Below are 23282 nucleotides of genomic sequence, written 5' to 3'. Positions count from 1 at the left end.
TTGGACATTTGAAATATGTGTTATGAAATAAAATAAACAGAACAAAATGTTTTCATCAAAAGAATGTACCAAAATGTCTATATCAATGCTATATTTCATCTATATTTTCAACCATGTATATAAAAGAAAAATATCATTAAATTGCATTTAGAGAGCATTAATTAATGACAAAAGTAACTATAGCTTCATCAGAACACCACATCAACACTGTATGATCATTGTTATGCAGATTTGGTAGTGAGAATTTAAGGAGTGCCCCCAAAGATTTTAAGTCCTGGTCAGTCAAAAGCACAGTTAGTTGGAATGTTTGGTGCCTATCCAACAGATAGGCGGATTTCTCATGATAGAATGTAATGATTATCTAAGGGATTATTAAGCAAAGCCCATCTACTGAATCAGTAGGGAATTGGTTCTGCTGCGTGAAAAATTATGTTGTAAAATAAAGAAACAAACACAAAAAGGCCAATAAGGAAACAAACAGAAAAAGGCCAATAAAGAAACAAACACAAAAAGGCAATAGCCTTTCCAGCGGTAACCATGCTTTCTTTCACTCTTCTCTCGCAGGCCTATAGCGCCCTGTTGCTATAGGCTTCACATTGTCACACGGAGGGCCACGATCTCATCCTGCCTCATTTTCTGCCTACCTTTCTATTCCAACTCAGGTTCTTCTGCCGATTACTCTTCATCTCCTTAATCCATACATTTGTAACACCTCTTTCATTTTTTATTTGTGCTCGTTCTCTTTAAAATGTCATCTAGTCTCATTTTTGTAAATGTCATTTCTAATAAAACTTTTAAAATATATATTGTCCAACTCTAGTCCTTCTCTCAATTCCAAACTTAATTTCCTTCTAACTTCAAGACGTCTCTCTTTGGAAAAGCTACTGCTAGTCCCTCCAAAATTAATCCTCTAAAATGTCCAAACTGGGTCTTAAAGTCATTCCTGTTGCTGAAAGTTGTGAGTCCACCTTCCAGTTTTTCAAAATAAATACATGGGAATCATCCCAGACCCAAGGGATGGGTTGTTATGTTTCTGCATTGATCAGTCATCAGATGTGGGTTACCTTGAAAAGAAAATGCAGGAGGCTGAGACAGGAGAAGCACTTGAATCTGGGAGGTGGAGGTTGCACCCAGCCGAGATCACGGCACTGAACTCCAGCTTGGGTGACAGAGCAAGACTGTCTCAAAAAAAAAAAAAAAAAAAATGCAACCTTGGGAGACGAGACTCTTTAATCTGGAAGATAGCTAGCTGTTAGTCATGATCATTCTCACCAGCTGGCACAATGAGTGATTCCATCTTTAAAGTAATGACGCCCGTGCTACACCTCAATGCATTCATTACAGATACCATCTTGAAGCAACTGAAAATTTTGTGTGAAGTGTCACTTAAGTTACTTCAGTTATTTCCACTGAAATAAGTGGTTATTATGTTGAAGTTCTGATCTTATTTTTGCTATTCATAGGTAGCTACTTGGAAGTTTACTTGTGCTACCATATAATAAATACAGGATGCAAACAGTAGTGGCAATGCTGAAATCTCCCTAAGATAATAATTGCTTACATTGCATGCACTTGTCATTTGCATAATGCTGGTATAACATCGAAATACGTAAAAAGAAAAATAGAAATATAGTTCTGTTTTTTGACTTCTAGAAAGAGTGTTTCAGAAGCTCTCTCAGCTAAATTATGGAATAAAATGTAAAATATTTCACATTTCTATTACATTATCTGCAGTCCTTCTATCGGGCATTTATTGCATTATCTTAAAGTATTGTTCCAATTGTGATGGGTGCATTGAACTGTGTTCTCTGTAGTTAGCTTTTTGTTAGGAATGCTGAAGTTTCCTTCTTTTTCTCTATTTGGAATTAAGAGTGTATGCGGAGAAGAAACATTTATATGGACCACAAGGAATGAGTATACTTGGACAACAATGTCCTATAATGAATGGTTAAGGGAACTGGAAATATTTACCTGGAGAACTGAACATCCAGAGAGGACATAAAGAGGTCCTCCAAATATTTGAGGAGCTTGCACATGGCAGCAGAATTTAGAATGAATATAATTGTTTTTATGTGATGAAGCTATAAATGAGAGGAAGCTTTAGAGGGTAGATTTTCACCTGTGAGAAAGAACTTTGTGGTGATTACTGTTTTCAGACAATGGAATGAGTTCCTGGAATAATGGGGACTTCTATGTAATTAGAGCCTCTCAAGTATAAGACAGATTATTTTGTTGGAATGATGCAAACAGGGCTCAAGCATTGCTTAAGATAACGTTAACTTTTCACACCTATGATTCTGTGATTCTACTTAAAACTCCTTGTACTTTTCTTTTTACAAAAGATAAGTGAATTTGAAGCGCAGTTTATTACTACTGACTTTAGGAAAAAGAGAGAGAAAGAAATAGAAAACACAATTGATTAGAACCCTACTATTTTTCAAATTTTAAGAAATAAGTATATTTTGGTTCAAAATGAATCCAAAGATAATTTTATATTGATGTTAGCACAAAGTAAGAACTACGTCATCATTTATTGAACTGTTTTACCTAAATAACTTAATGTGGATGAGTTAAGATTATTTAGACCCATTATCCTCTGCTACTGACATAATAGCTGTGAAGAAGAATCCATGTTTTTTCTCTGATGTACACAGATAGGTAGGACAGGATAGAACAGAATAGGATAGGATAATATAGGGTAGGATGAAGTGTGTGGGCAGAGAGGGCTTTGCTATCGACAAGGTCTGGTCCCTAATTACATGCAAAGTGTACCATGGTAGGCACTGCATCTGATTTGCTAGTAGATTCAAGCCCACTCCTCTCTCATTTGGAAAAGAAAAGATGAAGGCATTGGAAGCTGCAGCAGAGATTTAGAGGGCCATGATCACTATTGATACTCCTGAGGGAAAGTGTACGTTGACCAAGAGGGAATAGAATCATTTTTGTGTGTTCACGGTTATACATCTAATAAATAGATCTTATTGGTGCCTAGTATTAAAGAACACTTAAATCAATCAAAACAGTTATTAAGAATGGCGACTAGACAAGGAAGAATACAAATAAACTTGAAATACACTTTAAATAATTGACTTGAAACACAGAAGTAATTTTTCCACAGAAACTTTATATCCTGCATTACGATTCAAATTAATTATAATTTAAATAACAAATCCAGAAATGTGGGCCATAAATTTAATACAAATTGTCTGAGTACTGACATGTTTCACTTTGAATTGGTATGAAAAATGCAATGGTTTATAAATGAAAAATGCTATGCTGCTTTGACTTATAAATGTAATAAATAACATCTCATTTTATTTACCTTTTGAAAATGTTCATAAGGTTGATTTGAAAATTCTATTTTAATCATATGTAAAATTGGGACCATACATATATAAACCATCTGAGCAATTTCCATATCAAAGAAAGTTTAGTGAGTTTTTTGACACTATTACATTTTTTTCTCTTGGGTTAATTCATGAGTTAATACATTTTTCCTGTCCCCCCAACCCCCATTCTTCCTTCCTTTATCCTTCCTTCCCTACTTCCTTCCTTTTATATTGTATTTATCTATATGTATAAACATTTTCTTATGTTTTATTGCACAATTTTCATGTTTGTATCGATGGATATAATCTATATGTCTATAAATTTTAGACTTAATTTATATTAATTACATACATTCATTACACATTTATAAAATGCAAATATTTTAGCAAGCAACATAAAAAACCAAGCAATAGGTATTTTTTGTTGCTTTAGTCTAAATTTTTGTAAATCTAAATACATGTGACATCAGTAAGCAAATACATGAGGATGAATTAGTCTAAAAGACAAGTTACTGAAGACAAAAAAAGTATGTGTATCTTTTTATCACTTACATAAATCTGCTTACATAGCAGTGTTTTAAAATTGCTGTCCAATTGTTTCCTGGTCATATATTCCAGTAGATGAAAGTAAAAGTAAGAGAAATATTGATAATAAAAATGTGAATCTTGTGCTGTATATATGTGTATTTTATAGCCACAAATAGAATGAGAGCTTTTACTAAATTTATTTCCCAGAATTCCTTAATTGTTTACGAAGTGTTTGTATATGTTAGTTCAAAATTACTCCTCTGAGTAAATTAATACAAAAGGCATGAGTATTTGGAGATCATTATAGGTAATTATTATTATTTTGTTTTTCAACTTATAGAATGTACTCCAACGTAAACCATACTCCTGGGACACAGAAAGTTAAAAAGGCTATGATTATTAATTTTAATACAACAGTTAAAAAGTGGCATATCTATTAACATTTTTTTCCATCAGGGGAATAAACTGAAAATCTGTTCTTGTATGAATTCATGTGACATTTATGTCACCCTGGAGACCCAAAACCAGGTTCAGATAACTGTAACATTATGTGTAAATCTATTTTACTTTTCCAATTTTTAAACAAGAAACAAATCATAATATCAGAGGTATTCTGTAGTAAGCTAAAGTATAGGACTTTAAAGGAAAATAATTTTTCATCTGTTACCTGTGTCTCTGAGATAGCCTGAGAAAATCCAATTATTTCCTCAGATTAATTCTCCATTGTCAATTACATGAATTAGAAATATATTAAATCCTTTCAAAGTCAAATTAAAATTATTAAAAAATATAGAGTGATTCATAAATGAATAAAAATTATCAAAGTTATACTTGTTTGAATTCTAGACTTACAGTGACAGGGAGTTTAATAATGAAAATCTCCTAATTGTTAATTGGTTTGTGTTTAACCCTCTGGATCTTAATTCTGAATCCTGCAATAGCTCTCTATCTCACTCAGAGAAGAACATTTCCAACAAATTGAATCATTCCTCTACTTGCTGAATCTTTTACAGTATCTGTAAATTGTATAAATTTCAGGACAAGTGGGGCAATTCCAGAAATGGTTTTCTTCTGCTTCTGCATTGGACAACCCACTTAGTAGACTAAAAAGCTGATTTTTTTTTTAAATCATTGTTTTCATAAGGTGAAAATTTAGAATTATTTGAGTGGCTTACATTTATACTTTTGTATTGCGTCAGGTTGATTTGTATGGGTTAAGAGAACACAACACAATATTTTCTGTGTGTAGTGTCTCCAAAGCATTAATCTGGCCCTCCTAGTCAGACCTTTTGATTTGTGCCACTTCAAAATCCAAAAGTAAAATTATATAAGTTCCTTTTGAACTTAAGTGTGCTCTTTTGGTGTCAGCTGGAAAAATGCAAGTAAAAGTAATGGATTTTTAAAAATATAACTTTTGTAATGACTTTCCTCTATTTCATGGAAAATCGTGATTTTTGATCTTGCATTTATTTAATTGTGGTTTTTAATTTATTGGTATAGTATATTTCAGGCAAGGAGTATCATGCATTTAAGAGACCATGGCTATTTGTAAATATAAAATTGTTTTCCTACATCGTAATTCATAGTTCCTTGTGGCAGTAATATTTATGTAAGCAAATAATCAAAAGTAGTATAAACTTAATTTTTATTTCTAAAGAGAGAAAAGAAAAGTCAGTGTTTTTATTTTTAACATCTGTATTACAATGGCAAAGCACAGGAACTTAGGAAATGGCCAGTTAATAAAAATCATGTTTTATTTCAAGTTAGCAAGTGTTAGTGACCTGTAATTATATGTAATTGTGAAGACTTTCATAACAAAATGTGTTCTAATAATAGAAATCCAGTGTAAACGAGCTTAGAAATGGAGAAGAACTTATTGGGAGAATGTTGCATTATCATGCATAATTGCAACGTGGCTGATCCAACAAAACTGGAAAGGACAGGAATGAGTGTCTGGAACAAGTTGCATGAAGATCTATGTATTGCCATTTTCTCTGTGTTCCTATCTCTGAATGATTCCAAATGAGCCCAAAGTTTTAGACCCAGTCTCTTTGAGGAGCAAAGTTTCTATTTACAGAAATACAGAAGCCTGCAGAAGAAGCTATTTCAATAAGGCAGAGATGAGAAATTAAGCATGATATTTAAGACTTTTTGATTTTATAATCATCTCTCATCTCGATTCCTGCCGTAATCTACAAACTGGTCTCCTTGCTTCTATCCTTTCCCCATACCCTCTACCCTCATAGTACATTCTCACATTATGGCTAGTGAAATTCTTTAAAATCTAAGACAGACCATGTCAGTTTTCTGCTCAAAATCCTGCAATAGTTTTTTTTTTTTTTAATCTTACTCAAAGTAAGACAAAAAAGTCTTTGCCATGGTCTACAAGTGCTGAAAGATGTATGTGGCTCTCCATCACCTCTAAACCTCATCTCTGATATCATTCTATAAACACCAATACCAGCTGTACTAGCTTCCTTATGTTTTGTAGAATAAGAATACTCCTAACTTAAGGCCTCTGTATGGTTCTCAGCTCTGCCTAGGATGGCTTTCCTCCAGATAGATTCATAGGCAAAATTACTCACCTTATCCACCTCCTTGCTCACAATTATCTGCTTGAGAAGTCTATCCCAATTAAGAAATCACCCCTATGGCCAGAATTTCTAAGCCTCTTTAGCAATCTTTACTTTTTCTCTTACTTTTGGCTTTATTACCTTTATATAGTATACTATTTAATATTTAGTATGTAAATCTTTCATTAGAATATACTTCCAGAATGTTAATATTTGCAAACTGTAAGCTCTGAAGGGCCCACTTATCTGTTCATTATTGTATCCCAAATGCCTAGAATAGTATCAGTCACTTAGTAAATATTTGTTGAATATATAAATAAATGTTAAGCCCCTCTATTAGTGAGGATTTGGTTTCATTGCAATGAATGGTAAATTAACAAAGGCAATAATAAGATGGGTGTTATTTTTATTTCATATTAAAGCAGTCCAGGGGCTTACCAGTATCAAAATCTAAGCGTCTTCTATCTTTTTGTACTGATTTCCTCAATGTATGGCTTCTACTAAGAGATTCTAAATGGCTCCTACCTTCATAATCTAAGCATCAGAACAGGGAAAGCGGTCAAAGAAATGCACATCTCCTACATTTAAGGCAAATCCTAGAAGTTCCATACACCAACTAACCTTACATTGTATTGTCCAGAATTAGTTACATTGCCACATAAAATACAAAAGAGGTTTGGAAATTCAGTTCTTATTCTATCAGGTCTTGTAACCAGCTGCAAATTCAGGGTTCTAGTACTACAGAAGAGTAAAATAGGTATTTGTGAACAGCTAGCTATCTTTATCCCAAAACCCAAATACATAATGGTGAGTAGGCAATTGGATATACCCCTGATTGCATAAAACTGCTTAGACAAGTGGTTGTCCTGGTTTACATGTGTTTTCTCAGAATAATTAATAATAATCCCCCATCTTCACATTCTAAAGTGTCCTCGTTTGGACAATAAATTACCCAGTCAACATACAGGACTTTAGGTCAGTGGAAAAACCTCGGCTGAAGGTGTGTTTCTAGAAATCAAGAACACATGTAGTATTTAAAGGCATGAAATAATATGAGTTGACCTAGAGGGTTGGTATATAGATGTAGAAAATAAGAGGTCCTGGAACTTGGCTCAAAAGTAACTTAAAATTTAGAGGTCAAAAGAGAATGAGGAGCCAGCAAAAAGGCAGAAAAGACAAACACATTAAGTCAAAGGAAAATCAAAGGGAAGTTGATGTCACAGAGTCCAAGGGAAGATAGTATTATAAATAGAACTACGAAAATAACCTTCATACACGAGGTGACATGAGAACAGATAATCCACCATTAGATTTGGCAAAGGAAGGATCATTGATCTTAACAGTAGCTACTGCTAGAACTACCACCATAAAACAGAAAAAAAGCAATTGGAGAAAATAAATGTAATCTTTTTGTGAAAAGTTTTACACTAAAAGGAAGCAAAGAAATAGGGAGTATCAAAACTTCTTTGTTTTTATTTTAAGCTAACGTTTATCTTAGCATGTTAATTATGCTAAAGAGAATGATTCAGTAAAATGTAAAAATGTATGATGCTTGGAAAGGAGGTAGCAATTATGGGATTGATGCCTTTGAGAAAGTGAGAGGGGATGCAATCTAGCAAATAAGCAGAAGGATTGGCCTTATGTAAAAGCCCATTTTTAAAAGAGAGAAAACCTACTAGATGAGTGGGTTGGTAGATTTAATGGTACAAGCATGTGAAAATTCTCTTCTTCTCTTCTATTTTCTCCTGAAATAAGTCACAGTAAGACACACTCAGCTGAGAGTGAGGAAGGAACATCAGGGCATGCAAATTTAAGTGGGAAAGACTTGTCTAACTCAGACCTTGCTACTCAAAGTGCATCTGAGGATCTATAGCATTGATGTCACCTGCGAGCATAAAGAAAAATGCATTATCCATATTGTTCTGTATAGTGGCTATACCAATTTACATCCTCACCAACAGTGTACAAGGATTCCTCTTTCTCCACACCCTTGCTCGTATTCATTCTTGCCTATCATATGGATACAAGTCAACTTAACTGAGGTGAGATGATATCTCATTATTGTTTTGATCAGCATTCTCTGATAATTAGTAATGTTGACAGTTTTTACATATAACTGTTGGCCATCTGTGTGTCTTCTTTTGATAAATGTCTTAAGACAGATCTTTTGCCGATATTTTACTCATATTATTTGTTTTTTTCCTATTGAGCTATTGAGTTCCTTATATACTTTGATTATTTATGTATTTATTTGAGATGGAGTCTTGCTTTGTTGCCCAGGCTGGAGTGCAGTGGTGCGATCTTGGCTCAGTGGAAACTCTGCCTCCCAGGTTCAAGTGATTCTCCTGCCTCAGCCTCCCGAGTAGCTGGGACTACAGGCACATGCCACACGTGGCTAATTTTTGTATGTTTAGTAGAGACGGAGTTTCACCATGTTGGTCAGGATGGTCTCGATTTCTTGACCTCACGATTTGCCTGCCTCGGCCTCCCAAAGTGCTGGGATTACAGGCATGAGTCACCGCGCCTGGCCGTATACTTTAATTATTAATCACCTATCAGATGGGTAGTTTGTAAATATTTTCTCCCTCTCTGTGGGTTGCCTCTTCACTTTGTTGACTATTTCCTTTCCTGAACTGAAGCTTTCTCTGATCCCATTTGTCCTTTTTTGCTTTGGTATCTTGTGTTTTTTGAAGTCTTATTCAGGAAATATTTGCCCAGACCAATGTCCTGGAGTGTTTCCCCAATGTTGTCTTCCAGTAGTTTCATAGTCTCAGGTCTTAGATTTAAGTATTTAATCCATATTAATTTTTATACATAGACAAAAATAAATAGGAGCTAGTTAAAGATATTATCCAGCGTATGATGGATTATATTATCCAGCATATGATAGATCATATGATCCAGCATTTCCACAGCTGGGTATATATCCAAAAGAAAAGCAACGAATGTATCTAAGAGATATCGGCACTCCCAGGCTTACTGTAGCACTATTCACAATAGTCAAGATATGGAATCAACCTAAGTGTCCATCAGTGGATGAATGGGTAAAGAAAATATGGCCTGTATAACACAATGAAATGTTATTCTACCCTAAAAAAGAATGAAATCCGGTCATTTGCAACAACACAGATAGAATTGGAGGCCTTTATGTTAAATACAATAAGCCAGACAAAGAAACACAAATATCACACGTTCTCACTTATATGTGGGAACTAAAAAATACTGGACTTATGAAGATAGAGAGTAGGATGATGGTTACTAAGGGCTGGGAAGGATAGTGGGGAAGAAGGGGTACAAAAATAACAGTTAGGTAGAATGAAGAATATCTACAACTCAATAGCATCATAGAGTGACTATAGTTAACAATAACTTATTGTACATTTTAAAATAACTAAAAGAATGATATTGCAGTGTTTCTGTAACAGATACATGATAAATGCTTGAGGTGATGGATACTGATTTGATCATTACACAGTGTGTTCCTGTATCAGAACATCACATGCACCGCATGAATATATACAACCATTATGCACTGACGATTAATAATAACAAAATTAAAAGTGAAAAAAATGCAGATGCTTAAGCATCTCACCAGATTTTCAGAACCTGCCTTTGAACAAGATCTCCCAGTGATTTCCATTCACATTACTTTTGAAAAGCACCAGTCTGAGAGAGTAGTAGAGCAAACTGATAAAGAAAATGTAGTACAATTCTCCAAATGACTAGCTGCCTTTCTGAGGTACTGATCATGATTTTAAAGGGAAATAGGTTTTCTGTTAGCCAACTTCAGTGAATATCCTAATTAAGATTTCCTGTTGGATATCTTTGAGACATTTCAAACTGAATTCCCAAACAAAATTTATTCCCCAGAATCTTTCTCATCTCAATAAATGGCACCACAATCCCCTCAGCTGCTCAAACCAAATATCATGGAGTCCTTATCGAGTCCTTTTAGCCTCTTCCAAATATACTCCAAGCCATTAGGAGGTCTTATGAACTTTACTACCCAAATTCTCCGAAATCTATTTGTTTCTTTGATCATTTCAGCTGTTATCCAAGCAAAACCTCTAATATCTTGTCCTGGATTATGTCAGCAGCCTCCTCATTGCTCTCTGTGTTTCCATGTTTGAAGCTCTATGGTGACTTTTCCACCTTCTAAGAGTGGTAAAAAACTAACTGGAACAAACTAAAATTTTAGTAGACCTAAAAACCATCTCAGCTGAGACATAATCACAGGAATGTGAGATGTTTTACACTGAGAAGATAAGCCTAAAATTGGAAGTATAGTTTAATTTCCATTCTCAAGTAATTGATGGGACAATGATCACTGTTATATTCTGGGTGCCAAGGAGCCACATACTTGGTTAGGCACTAGAAACCCATTATCTTCATTTTTTTTTTCTTTTTTAAAGGCACTTCATGATATGAAAATTAGACCTATGACCAAAAGAATGATACAAGAAAATCTTTCAGTCAGAGGAGTCTAATCATAGACTTACTTGAGAATAACTACTTGAGTATCACTTGAAATACTCAAGCATAATAAAGATGATGACTGGCAGAAATATTGTGGAGAGAATTTAAGCATCAGGAGGGTAGCTGAGTTGGATGATGATGAAAGTTTATGGTATCACTGGAATTCCTTGTTAAATGACTTATTGAAACCTAAATTTTTTTGTCAGTCTGAAGATTGAGTGAATTTACATTGAGAGTAATGTGTAAAACATTCTACAGTGTGGATAGGAAAAAAGTTTTCACCAGATTGGTTAAGAGCCATCAAATTACTAGGGAAGTGCAAAAGTGTCTGAAATTTCAAAAAGATCTGTCAATTGGGCCTTATTCTTCTGGTTAACATCTTAACAATGAAATTGAAGCTGGGAAGAAAATAAAAGGTCCTAAACAATAAATTTATTACACATATTAAAGGATTTGTCAAAGTTCACAGAGATAATAGGGTTACATTTTCTGGTAACTAGTCTAGGTAAAAACTCCATTATACTATACTGCTTTAGAACATTATATATATATATATTTATTTATATACATATATAATATATATATTTTTTGGTATCTTAATTTTCTGAAATTGCTTTGCACAGACTAGTCTGGTTTTTAAATCTAACTCCCAAAGTCTAGTCACACTTAAATGTGTTTTCCCTCAATTCCATGTTTTATCAGGACTCCGTGCATTTGAATAAGCTGGTTCCTTTGTCCAAACTACCATTTCCCCTTCTTCATCTGACTTCCAGTTAAGTTTTAGAGTTTGGATAAATCTGTACTTCCCCTGGGAAGCCTTTCTTTCATTGTCACTTTCAGGTGTGCTCCTATCCGTTGTCATACTTACTCTGTTAAGTAAGTGTAGCTTGTTTCATTGCCCATGCCTCTGCTCTAATAGCAGTAACTGCATTTTTTTATTCTCGCAATTGCTAATATCAAGTAGAGAAAATGACACATAGTATGATTCAAAAATTTTAGTTAAATACATTATCCATCTTTTTATCAACTTGAGTTCCCAAATTTGTTCTCAAAATAAAACACTGTACTTGTTTATTCTCAGCATGGTAGAAATATTCAAAAGAATATTTAGGATTATGTAAAAGATAGATCTCTGCCTCATATTTCAGCAAATAATCTTTGATTGAATAGATTCCAGCTGTTAGGCAGACAATAGCATAATCCAAAGGCTATCTTAGAAGTATGTAACAAACCAGATACACATGTCACCAAGGCAAGGGAAGTCACCTGAGACATTCTGTAATACTTTAATTTTGCTCTTTCCTAAACTACTATGGCTTTCCTGACTAAATAATGAAATTTAGCAATTTATTACATTCTGTTTTTATTGTTTTTAAGTTCTCCATGACTACAAGTCTACTCTCAACAAAATCAAAATTCTACAGAGGAAAGAGCCAACCCTCAGGAAATATATATGTGTATATATATATATATGTGTGTATATATACACACGTATATATGTATATACATATATGTGTATATATACACGTGTATATATGTATATACATATATGTGTATATATACACGTGTATATATGTATATACATATATACATATATACACATATATAATATTTTATATATGTATATATTTATATATTTTATATATGTATATATTATATATGTTATATATATTATATGTATATATATTTTATATATATGTATATATGTATACATATAGAAAAAAATATATATATATACACACACATATATATATATAATTTTTTTTGAGATGGAGTCTCACTCTGTCGCCCTGGCTGGAGTGCAGTGGTGCAATCTCAGCTCACTGCAAGCTCCGCCTCCCGGGTTCAAGCAATTCTCCTGCCTCAACTTCCCAAGTAGCTCAGACTACAGGTGTGTGCCACCACGCCCAGCTAATTTTTTGTATTCTTAGTAGAGATGGGGTTTCACCATGTTAGCCAGGATGGTCTCCATCTCCTGACTTCGTGATCCACCCACCTCGGCCTCCCAAAGTGCTGGGATTACAGGCCTGAGCCATTGCGCCCAGACAGGAAATATATTTTTATGTAGCCTATATGTAATTACTGATAAATCAGTTAACACTTGGGGCTTCATTTATAAGGTTTTTGAATATTGTTAATATTTAATATTTTAGTTAACTAATCACATTTGCAGCATGATCATTCTGCTCATGGATATTTAAAATTTTTAAATGTGTTAAGACTTTTAGCAAATTATGATAGATTGATCACAGATCTTTCAGAATTCCCCTAAATAACATAAAATATTTTTTAAAATTATATAGAAAAGAATAAATACAATAAAGGGTGGGTAGTGATAAGATGTCAGCACAATTTAGAAGATGGGAGGTCCGTTTATGTACAAGTTGTAAAGATGGAACAAATTCTAAAGGTTGGGCAGGAAGCTAAAAGAAGTAGAATATAATAAGAAGTGAAATCATTTAAGCAGAAGAACCGCATGATGCTCAGAAGCACCTTCGACGTGCAAGGAAAGTGTAGGTATTATCGATAGTGGAAATAGTCAAAAGACTTATAAGAAATATTTAGAAATCATCCTAAGCAACTTCCCCCACAACCCATGCTGGGGATTAGATTTATAGTGTAAGGAAAAACTAAGCTGTAAAGATTCTGGACTCAGGGGAGATTGGTATAGCTTAGGATGGAGAAGAAGCATCCCGGTGAAATCATAGGCACTCTGTATAAGTTTTTATGTAAAATGGTGATGTGATCTGCTATCTTCCTCGCTTGATTCCCAGAACACGTGCAACCCAACTTATATCCCAGCCCTGGCAAGCAACTGGAGGATTCTTTCTGGACACTAAAGTACCCTGTGAGAAAACAAATGCCTTATTAAATTTGAGTTTCCCATCAAACAAAAAGTTTCATTGTCTTATCATACAGTAATAAACTGCACTGGCCGGAAAGTTGTTCCAAAACACAGTACTTCCAAAAAGCATTTTTTTGTAACACATTTAAAAAGTATGTATCATTTAAAAAATATGAAACAAATTATCACTGAAAGCTTTTAAATCAAAAGTAAAGAAACCCAAACAAATGAAAGAAGTAAAAGAATAGACTTAGATCAGAAGATAACTTTTTTAAAAAGGATAAGTGTCTTTCCTGGAATATGATCATATAAAGTATTCATGATGAAGTGAACAGGGTGCTATGAAAACATTAAAAGGAGATACTTAAAGAATTCAAGCTTCAAAACTGAAAATACGATAGCATAAAAACATGAAACAAATCTGCTGGAAAAAAGGGTAAGGAAGTTTTTGATAAAGTATGAAAAAATAAGAACCTAAAATAAGAGATTAAAAAAAGAGAAGAAACTTGCATAATTAAATGAAGTGATACTATTTCCAAATAAGAAAAGCTATTTCAGAAAAAAAAAGGAGGAGAAAAAATTTTTAGAATTGTACAATAGAGATTTTCAAATAACAAGTTCTCTAGATCAGAAGGTCATATCACAAAATATGTCACATATGACTCACATGGCATCAGAGTTTTAAAAAGTACTACTGGAAGTGAGAACTGTCAAAAATTTAAAAAATTGTCTAGACTAGAATTTAATATCTAGCCACTTTTTAATACACAGTTTTAGACACATAGTATAGCAAAACAAACCCCCCAAAAAATCTATCTTTGCGTCCTTTCACAGCAGGTTACAAAGAATATGTTTCACCAAAACAAAACAAGTGACTAAACAAAGAAAGAGAATACCATGAAAATCAGGAAAGTAGAGATTTTATAGAAAACTGAGACAAAAATTACCAAGATAATAAAAAGGGACATTTTACGATCATATCTTGGTAATGGGTTAAGAAAAAGAACCTGCCCAATTGGGAGGAGGGCTTTAGAGAGCTTTAGGTGACAGTGATGTTGTCTCAAAGAATTAAAATGAAACTAAAGAATTAGCTGGCATGACTGATTATATAGACAGGAATTTTATAGTTCTATTAGAGCTTTGAAAATTAATATTTTAATTTGACAAATATTTATTGGGTTTTTAATATGTGTCTACTAGAAACATATGTTGTACTAGACACTTTAGGATACATCAGTGAACCAAAGAAAGACTGCTATCTGCCCTTCTAGAGCATATGATCAAGGAGAAAATGTTAGGCTATTATTAACTCCAGAAAAAAGCAAAACAAAAGCTGTCCAAGAAATAACATGTAATCACATTATACTATGTGGGTGTGGAACAGCTAAACATAACATTTACATAGCCATAATAATTTATACACTGGATTTGATTTAAACAAAAATTACGTTAAAATATTTTTATATTTTTAGTCTTTTTGAGAAGGGTATTTGGACCAGGGAATGGGAAATCAAAAGATAATATGTGAAATCGGAGACAAAGTGAACTAAAAGATACCTAAACATACAAACAATTCTTACTTCCCAATCTCTAACATAGATAAGCCATCATATGAGGACCTTTTTCTGCTGAGTCTGAGCCAGCTCTCCCTCTGAATTCTTCTCTACCGAGACCAAGAGGCAGCTGCTACTGGAACATATGAAGTGATATACATTTTCTTTCCCCAACTAAATGACCTCTAAAATCAGTTTCCATATCTCACATTACATAAATGTTCTAAATGTTATGATATGATGTACTATGAGGGAAAGCATTGCAAAAATTGAGAAGGAAGGTTAGGGTAGTGCAAATGAGAATAATGGAAGACGGGAATGGGGATTCTCATGCTATAAATTAATATGGAAAATTTTATTGTTAAAGAAAGATTATTTCCAGAATGATATCTGGTTGCAACATTAGAAGTAGGTGGTTAGTAGGCTCAATAATATAGATAATTGAACATGGCAAATCTAAAACCTTTCTAAAAGACATTATTGTCTTTTCTGAAGGATTGAAGAGGTTGTCAGCTTTGGAGTTCTGACTATGGAGCTATAGGCTTATTTTAGACAAATCACAGATGGAACTTTGATAGGTTTTACATTACTAAAGAAGTAGTTGTTTTCGTTGTTTTCATAAAATCACACTATGATTTAGTCTATTTCTCTGTCTACGTGTAAAATATTTAAATTCTGGGTTTTTAGATGCATGGTACTATGACAAAGATGTACTTTGGAAGCACTAAGTCCGAAGTTAGGTTCTGATCTAGAATTTAGTGTCTGTTCATTGGCAGTAAATTAGTAAATTACGTTCTGATCTAGAATTTACTGTCTATTCATTTACTGTCTATTCATTACTATTCATTCATGACTGTCTATTCATGATATTAATCGTAGAATATAGATAATACCAAGAAAAGTGAATAAATATGTTGATATGGTTTTGATGTTTGTTCTCTTCAAATCTCCTGTTGCAATGTAATCCCCATTGTTGGAAGTGAGGCCTAGTGGAAGGTACTGGATCATGGCGGCGGATCCCTCATGAATGACTTAGTGTCATCCCCTTGATGATGAGTGAGTTCTTTCTCTGTTCATGCAAGATCTACTTGCTTAAAACAGTGTGGCACCTTTCCCCTCTCTCTCTTGCTCCTGGTCTCGCCATGTGACTCCCCAAGCTACTCCCCCTTTGCCTTCCACCATGATCGTAAGCTTCCTGAGGCCCCTCCAGAAGCAGATGCTGGCAACAAGCTTCCTGTACAGCCTGAAGAACCGTGAGACAGTTAAACCTCTTTTCTTTATAAAGTACCCGGTCACAGATATTACTTCAGAGCAAGGCAAGAATGGCCTAACACATGTCTCCTGCCTTTGAGTTTCTTCAATGTACATAGTTTCTTCCACAGATTTTTTTCTCTCTTATTAAATCCTAGATGGAAAGTTTTGATATTTTGTGTGCACTGAATGTACACTGTAGCGTCAATTCACAGCAAAATAAGGTTAAATATCATTATTTTAAAATAGATTTTATATTTGCAACATTATTAAAATAGATTTTATATTTGCAACATTATTAAAATATATTTTAATGACATATTAAATAGGCCTCTATTCTACACTGTGACTTGCAAATTGAGATGCATATGCTCAATAAATAGTAATTTAATTTCTATAATATAAACAGTTGTTTCTCTTAATCTTTAATAAACAAGGCATTTTATGCCAAATTTCTTCCAGTAACCTCCTTGCATTTAATAAGGAATTGCATTTTTTTATTATTTTGAAAGTCAAAAATTTTAAAAGCTGCCTACTTAGTTATTAATAAATTGTTTTTGATTGGCATCATTATAATGTCCTTGTGTTTGAATCCCACTTCCCTCACCATTTCCTAATTGAAAATTTGAAAACTGAGAGTTTCCTAGAATAAACAAAATAATTCTGACTTACTATCTCTTCCTAAAATAAAGATAAATTGGGAATCAAGTAAGTGTTTATAAACAGTGCAATACAAACAGCTTACTTTCCAATGTTTTGGGAAGTGAACTTTAATCGAAATCTTGCTTGTAAATCGATTGCAGATTTGTAAGAAAGTGTATATTATTATAATGGCTTGGTAATAAGTATGACCCTTTGCAAAGGACATATCCTTAGGGTATTAATTTAACTTTCTCATAAGCAGGAGTAAAGTCCATATTTACCTCAGGGCACTTTTTATATTGCCAGAAATTAAGGTTTGCCTAGATAAAAGTATATTTCAAATAACCACAGAAAAGGCACTGTAAATGTAATTTCTGCCTTTATTGAAAAGCTTCTGTATAATACATACACCATTAAACTCATTGGATTACTCCCTTCCAATATAGAATGAAAATCATTTGAATTGCATGCAGTTAACTCTTAAGCTACAAAGCCTGTTTATAAATGCTATGATTTTGATGCTTTTTGCTTTTTCACGCACCCAATGACCATTCAGGGACCAAATCTGGCAGCTAACAATTTGCCATTCAACATTCTGTCAATAGATCTTTCTTTTAATAGCCTGTTACATTTTAAAAAGTGATTGAGCTAATTAAACACAACTGTGAAACTAAGCCGAGATTTAATTAACATTATTCGATGGCTTTGGGAAGTACATAATTATTAACAAAGATATATTTGAAATAACTCAAAGCCGAGCTAAATTCATTAATCCAGGCCTTTAGTATTACTTACTGCAGGCAACTTTTATATGCATTTCATTTTATATATACTTTCTGCAAAATGCTAAGATGTAGACAGCCATATGGTAGACCACTTGAAATGCAGACTACTTTTTAAAGTTAGAGAAATAGTGTAAATCTAATAAGTAAGTTCTCTTATCAAAAATATTTAATGTTTGTATTTTGTTATAAGCAAAATTATTTTTTGATGTTTTCAATTCTTTAAACACTTCAGAGTATTCGTTATCAAAGTATAGCAATGTATTATTGGCAAAATCCATCTACTATAAAACATAAAGTTAAAACCAAAGGAAAAAAACAATAGAAAAACCTTGTTATAGTGATGTTACCTATGTATTTGGAACTCTTGGATTTCCACTGATCATGGGCCTGAATTTCTGCCACTGCTTAACAAATTTCAATCATTGCAGGCAATCCAGCAGGTAGGGAAAATCATAGCTCTTGGAGTGTGCTTCAGCAATATGATACAATTATTACTGATTACTTGAGACTGTGGTACCTGACTCCTCTGAGGATTAATTCACCTGATTTCAGATTAGCACAGTACAGTTTCTAGTGCTCTAGTCCTTAGAGAGCTGCTACTATAATTATTGTATGTGGTACATGCTTCAGATGCGTCCTGTACAGTATTGCAAACAGTTTTATTGGTGTTAACATTATTAAATTCACATTAATTTTATTCATCAAAAGATTTCATGTATCCCTATTTCAGATTTTGACAAGTCATTATATTTTAATACCACTTATAAATTTTCGAAGAGCAAATAAAAATAATTAGAATACAGTAAGAGCTGTAATAATACTGCTTGTGACTAAGACTAGCAGCCATAAAAATTATTTTTATCCACTTTAATAAAATGTTATTTTAGGTATGGAGAATTACAATTACTACATCCATTTCATAGATGGCAGTAATTTGATATTATTGATGAAATAATAAACCAGAATAGAATGCTGGTTTTTGTTTGCTTTTTGGGGTTTACTTTATTTGTCACATACGGAAGTAAACTTTTGGCCAAAAGAAAAGTTAAATAAAATTCTACTATTTTGCTAAAATTATACAAAAACATTATGACAAAACCACTTTAAATTGTTATCCAAAATCCTTGCTTAACTTGCTTAAAGATATTTCAGTGAAAGAGACTCAACAAGTCACAGAAAACATGCAAACCAGGTAGAATACAAGTCCAAAGCTCTGGAAATTGCAACAGAAGGTATACTTAGTTCCAGCTAAGGTAGTAGTAAGTGGGTAAGAACTTTTGTCAAAACCCGGAAAAAGTCACATACACATACACAAACACACTAATAGTAGGAGAAAAATCATGGTGGAAAAAACGTAAATTTATTGATGAATTCGATCTCCCACTTCAGCTTGTAGAGCACAGGCTGCCCAGTTTTTAACACCAGAGTGAAAAACAAAAGACACACAAAATAAAGCAGCCGATTTTTGTTTGTTTACATTGAGACGACCTGGGGAAAGTGAAAAGTTCTTTTATGGGAAGAATCATCCTAATTCTCAAGTTGTGGGGGTTGCCTCACAGCCTATCCTTAGGGTCCTTTCTTATACCTCCTAAAGCAAAGCCTGACAGTACATATTCCACCCACTTGTACAAAGTTCCTACCCAGGCACACTTTCCACTAAGAAAGAAATCTTTCGGAAATAAATCTACCTGCACAATCCCAAAGGAAACCCAAATTAGGTATATTCATATTAGTTAAAAGTGGAGAGGAACACAGGACATTTCTAGGAAAACTCGAGAAAACCAAAGGTGGCTGTAAAATTTCCTAATGACATGTAAAGAATATGACAGTTTTGAGACCTCACAGAGGAGCACATAGCAAAGAAATAAGCCACTTTGCCCTCACAGAGCACTAAGCAGGTCAGAAGTGAGGATCAAGACTAATTTCAAGTCATATAGTCTATCACCAGCGAAACTATCAATCAATAAAATGGTAGACTAAAGATGTTTTCAGAAGGGCCAAGATTCAGAAATCCTGTAATCCTCCAATGAGCCTTTTCTTTTTATTTTTTTTCAGCTTTATTGATGTACAATTGAGAAATAAAAACTGTATATATTTATGGCATGCAATATAATTTTTTGATATAGATATACATTGTCAAATGTTTACTACAGTCAAGCTAATTAACATATCAATCACTTCACATAGTTACCCTTTTGCGTGGGAAAGAGAGTGTGTGAGAACATTTTATGTATAATTTCTTTGCAAATTTCAAGTATACAATGCAGTGCCAATAGCTATAGTCATAATGATGTGCATTAGATCTCCAGAATTTATTCATCCTGCATGGTTGAACCTTTGTACCCTTTGTCCAACAAACATTTTCTTTGGAAGTAATTTGAGACGGTGATCCAGTAAAACAGAAGAGAAAACCGAGGAAGAAACGAATTACTTCCTGGTATTGCTACAGCAGACACAATCTTGGGGAGCTAAGGGAAGTCTCGGTAAGCTCTGGGTCTTGAGAGCAAACCTCTTCTAGAGCAGGTAGAGATGGATCTAGAGGGGGAGGGTTATGGAAATGGCTGTCCTATATCAGAACAGGTATAAAAGAACATATGAGAAATATGATTTGCTAAAAGAAATTCTCCTTTTCCAGGGAATTTTAATACTATTCAGTGACCAAGAAAACACTTTTTCTTTACAGTGGTTTCTTGGAGTTTTTTTTGTTTGTTTGTTTGCTTATTGAGTTTGTCAGATTTTTATTCTAAATCAATTCTAAAGAAGCAAAGTGTTCATACTACACTTCAAATTCTGATTATAAATTATTGGTAAGTTTGATTTTAAAATAAATATAAGATTTTTGTTAAAAAGTGCAATTCTCTGACATTTTGGACTGAGTGAGCCTAATGCCATGTGATGAGCACTTTTTAATAGAAAGTAAGCTCACCCAACACTCGGATCAATATTTTCTGGAATGTCAATCAAGCTTAGAAAGCACAACTGTTCAGCACAATAAGCTTAAAATGCCTCAGAAATAAAAGTGCAAGGAACTGTAGGCTTAATATTTAGAAGCAAAGAGAGTTCATATCTGAATACCTCCACGCCAGCTCTCAGGCCACTATATTCATGCTGTTGCAGAGCTTTCTTCAAACCTCACTGAAGGCCATTTACTTAACTTTAGGGGATTGAGCAGCACATTTAACATTGTATAGAAACTTTTCAGTTATATACTCAGTTCTGGCTCTTAAGCTCTTCCATTGCACACTGATCACAGGTGTTGCATAATGATGCTGACATAACTTTTGTCATGGCCAGAAGCTAGTCGTGATTTTCTGAGAAAATGGCAAAAGAAAAAAGAAAGTTATCATTTTCCCTATAATGTTAAATTTCCTTTGAGAGCTAGTTTAATAATTCTGCAATAGGGAGGAGGTATGTCAATATTAGGTTCAATAACATGAAGACTTGTAACTGTTAGAGGGGAAAAAAAGGAATAAGTGATCTCAAACCTTAACATTTTCTTTAGTCACACGTATGCAAAAAACAGTATCAGGTGGAGAGCAATACACTATATTAATTTGGGGTATTTCTCAGACCTAGATATGTATGGTTTTTCTGTCTCCATTCTGTCAAGAATTTAAAAACACTGCTTTAGAAATTGAGAACAAATAGCATTTTATGAAATCTTTGAATTGTGATGTTTTATCTTTCAAGAATCTGAGAGAATTAACGATTACCTTTGCATGAACAATTGCACAGACATTTTTCCTTAATGTTAAGTCAATAAATTGTTATGAAGTATATTTGTATTGAGATAGAGCGTTGTGATAAAACTTTTAAAATTAAAAATGTCTATATAGAAGAGTACTACAGAAGCAAATTTATTTTGGATTAATTTATAATCTTTTCAAGTCATGGCTCAAATGAGAAATTTTATAAGTTTATAAAAGCAACAGTAGAGATATGACATAGATGGAATGGCACTTGCCTTAAGAAATGTTATATGAGGCCGGGCTTGGTGGCTCACGCCTGTAATCCCAGCATTTTGGGAGGCTGAGTCGGGTGGATCACCTGAGGTCAGGAGTTCAAGACTAGTGTGGCCAACATGGCAAAACCCATCTCTACTAAAAATACAAAAAATTAGCCGGACGTGCTGGCACATGCCTGTAATCCCAGCTACTCGGGAGGCCTATCACTTGATAGGAGGAGAATCACTTGAACCAGAAGGCAGAGGTTGCAGTGAGCCGAGATCACGCCATTGCACTCCAACCTTGGAGACAGAGTGATACTCTGTCCCACCACCACCCCCCACCCAAAAAAAAAAGAAATGTTACATGAAAATCTGCAATTACAGCTAATATTGCCTTTATAATGAGATCTTTAAACATACAAAGGATTTACTGTAAGTGTTTTTCAGATGGTAAATTTGCCTATAACTTATTATATGATACAAATGTAAAATACAAGTGAAAAATCCTTATATTTTCAGAACTGTATCACCTTCATAAAGTAGATTACACCTAAATTTTCTTCCCCAAAGTGAAACTAGTTATTTGATATTTGCTGTTAAATAGTACATAAAGCAATATAAACTTCCATGAAGCTCAAATGATTCTGTGTAGAATGGCTTTTAAGTGCTCCAAATAAATACCAACATGATTGCATAAGCAGGCACGGTCTCTCCAATGGGTCTCTGTGAGCCTCAGTGTCCTTACCAGAAAGACTGCAAAAATAATATTTAGGGTAAGAGTTATTCTTATTATGAATATTTAAAAGAGGTAAACTACCTAGCAAGATTTTCTGGCACAAGATTAAACAGACATTAGGATCCTTTCTTCCCTTTCTCCCTTCCTCCCTCTCTTCCTCCCTCCCTCTCTGCCTGCCTTCTTTCCTTCCTTCCTTTCTTCTCTCTCTTTCTTTCATTCATTCTTTTCTCTCTTCTTTCTTTTCTTTCTCTCTCACTTATTGTCTCTCTTTTCTGGATGCGTCCTACATCTGAGCTAACAATTTAAAACCATTGAAAATATTTTCAAACATATGGGCAGTTAGAAAAGGCAAATATTTTAATACCTAGAAGTATTCAATGGCATTTACTATATTAAATTATGACTTAAAATATATATTTATATTTATTTATATACATATATTTAAAAACATACCACAATGTTTACAGTCACTGAGATACAGTGTTTTTGTTTTTGGACTGTGTTTCTATATTGTTTCTTAAGTACTGCATAGTAAAAAACAAAAACAACCCAAAAACTAAAGTAGTGAAATATTTAATTCCAAAGTTTAAACAATTAAAAAAATTAATGACACTAATT

General features: G+C 33.6%; 1 protein-coding gene across 11 annotated transcripts in view, besides 2 other annotated features; it reads right to left on the bottom strand.

The window, feature by feature from the left end:
- The window catches only part of CNTN5 (contactin 5), a 1337937-nt gene that overhangs the window by 1133023 nt on the left and 181632 nt on the right, over positions 1-23282 (bottom strand). The window lies entirely within an intron of this gene.
- Positions 1952-2121: an enhancer, noted in NCBI's record as "experimental_22054 CRE fragment used in MPRA reporter constructs". NCBI's record gives its function as "activates a minimal promoter by MPRAs in K562 erythroleukemia cells, with activity observed for the introgressed 11:99094558 or rs61893092 variant allele {active_cell/tissue: K562}" and the evidence as "EXISTENCE:reporter gene assay evidence [ECO:0000049][PMID:34662402]".
- Position 2036: a transcriptional cis regulatory region, noted in NCBI's record as "Neanderthal adaptively introgressed variant 11:99094558 (GRCh37/hg19 assembly coordinates) or rs61893092 in the experimental_22054 CRE". NCBI's record gives its function as "modulates activity of the experimental_22054 enhancer by MPRAs in K562 erythroleukemia cells {active_cell/tissue: K562}" and the evidence as "EXISTENCE:reporter gene assay evidence [ECO:0000049][PMID:34662402]".

The sequence above is a fragment of the Homo sapiens genome, chromosome 11 (assembly GCF_000001405.40).
Source record: "Homo sapiens chromosome 11, GRCh38.p14 Primary Assembly".
NCBI classification, from domain to species: domain Eukaryota; kingdom Metazoa; phylum Chordata; class Mammalia; order Primates; family Hominidae; genus Homo; species Homo sapiens.
This window is presented reverse-complemented; position numbering and strand designations above follow the sequence as displayed.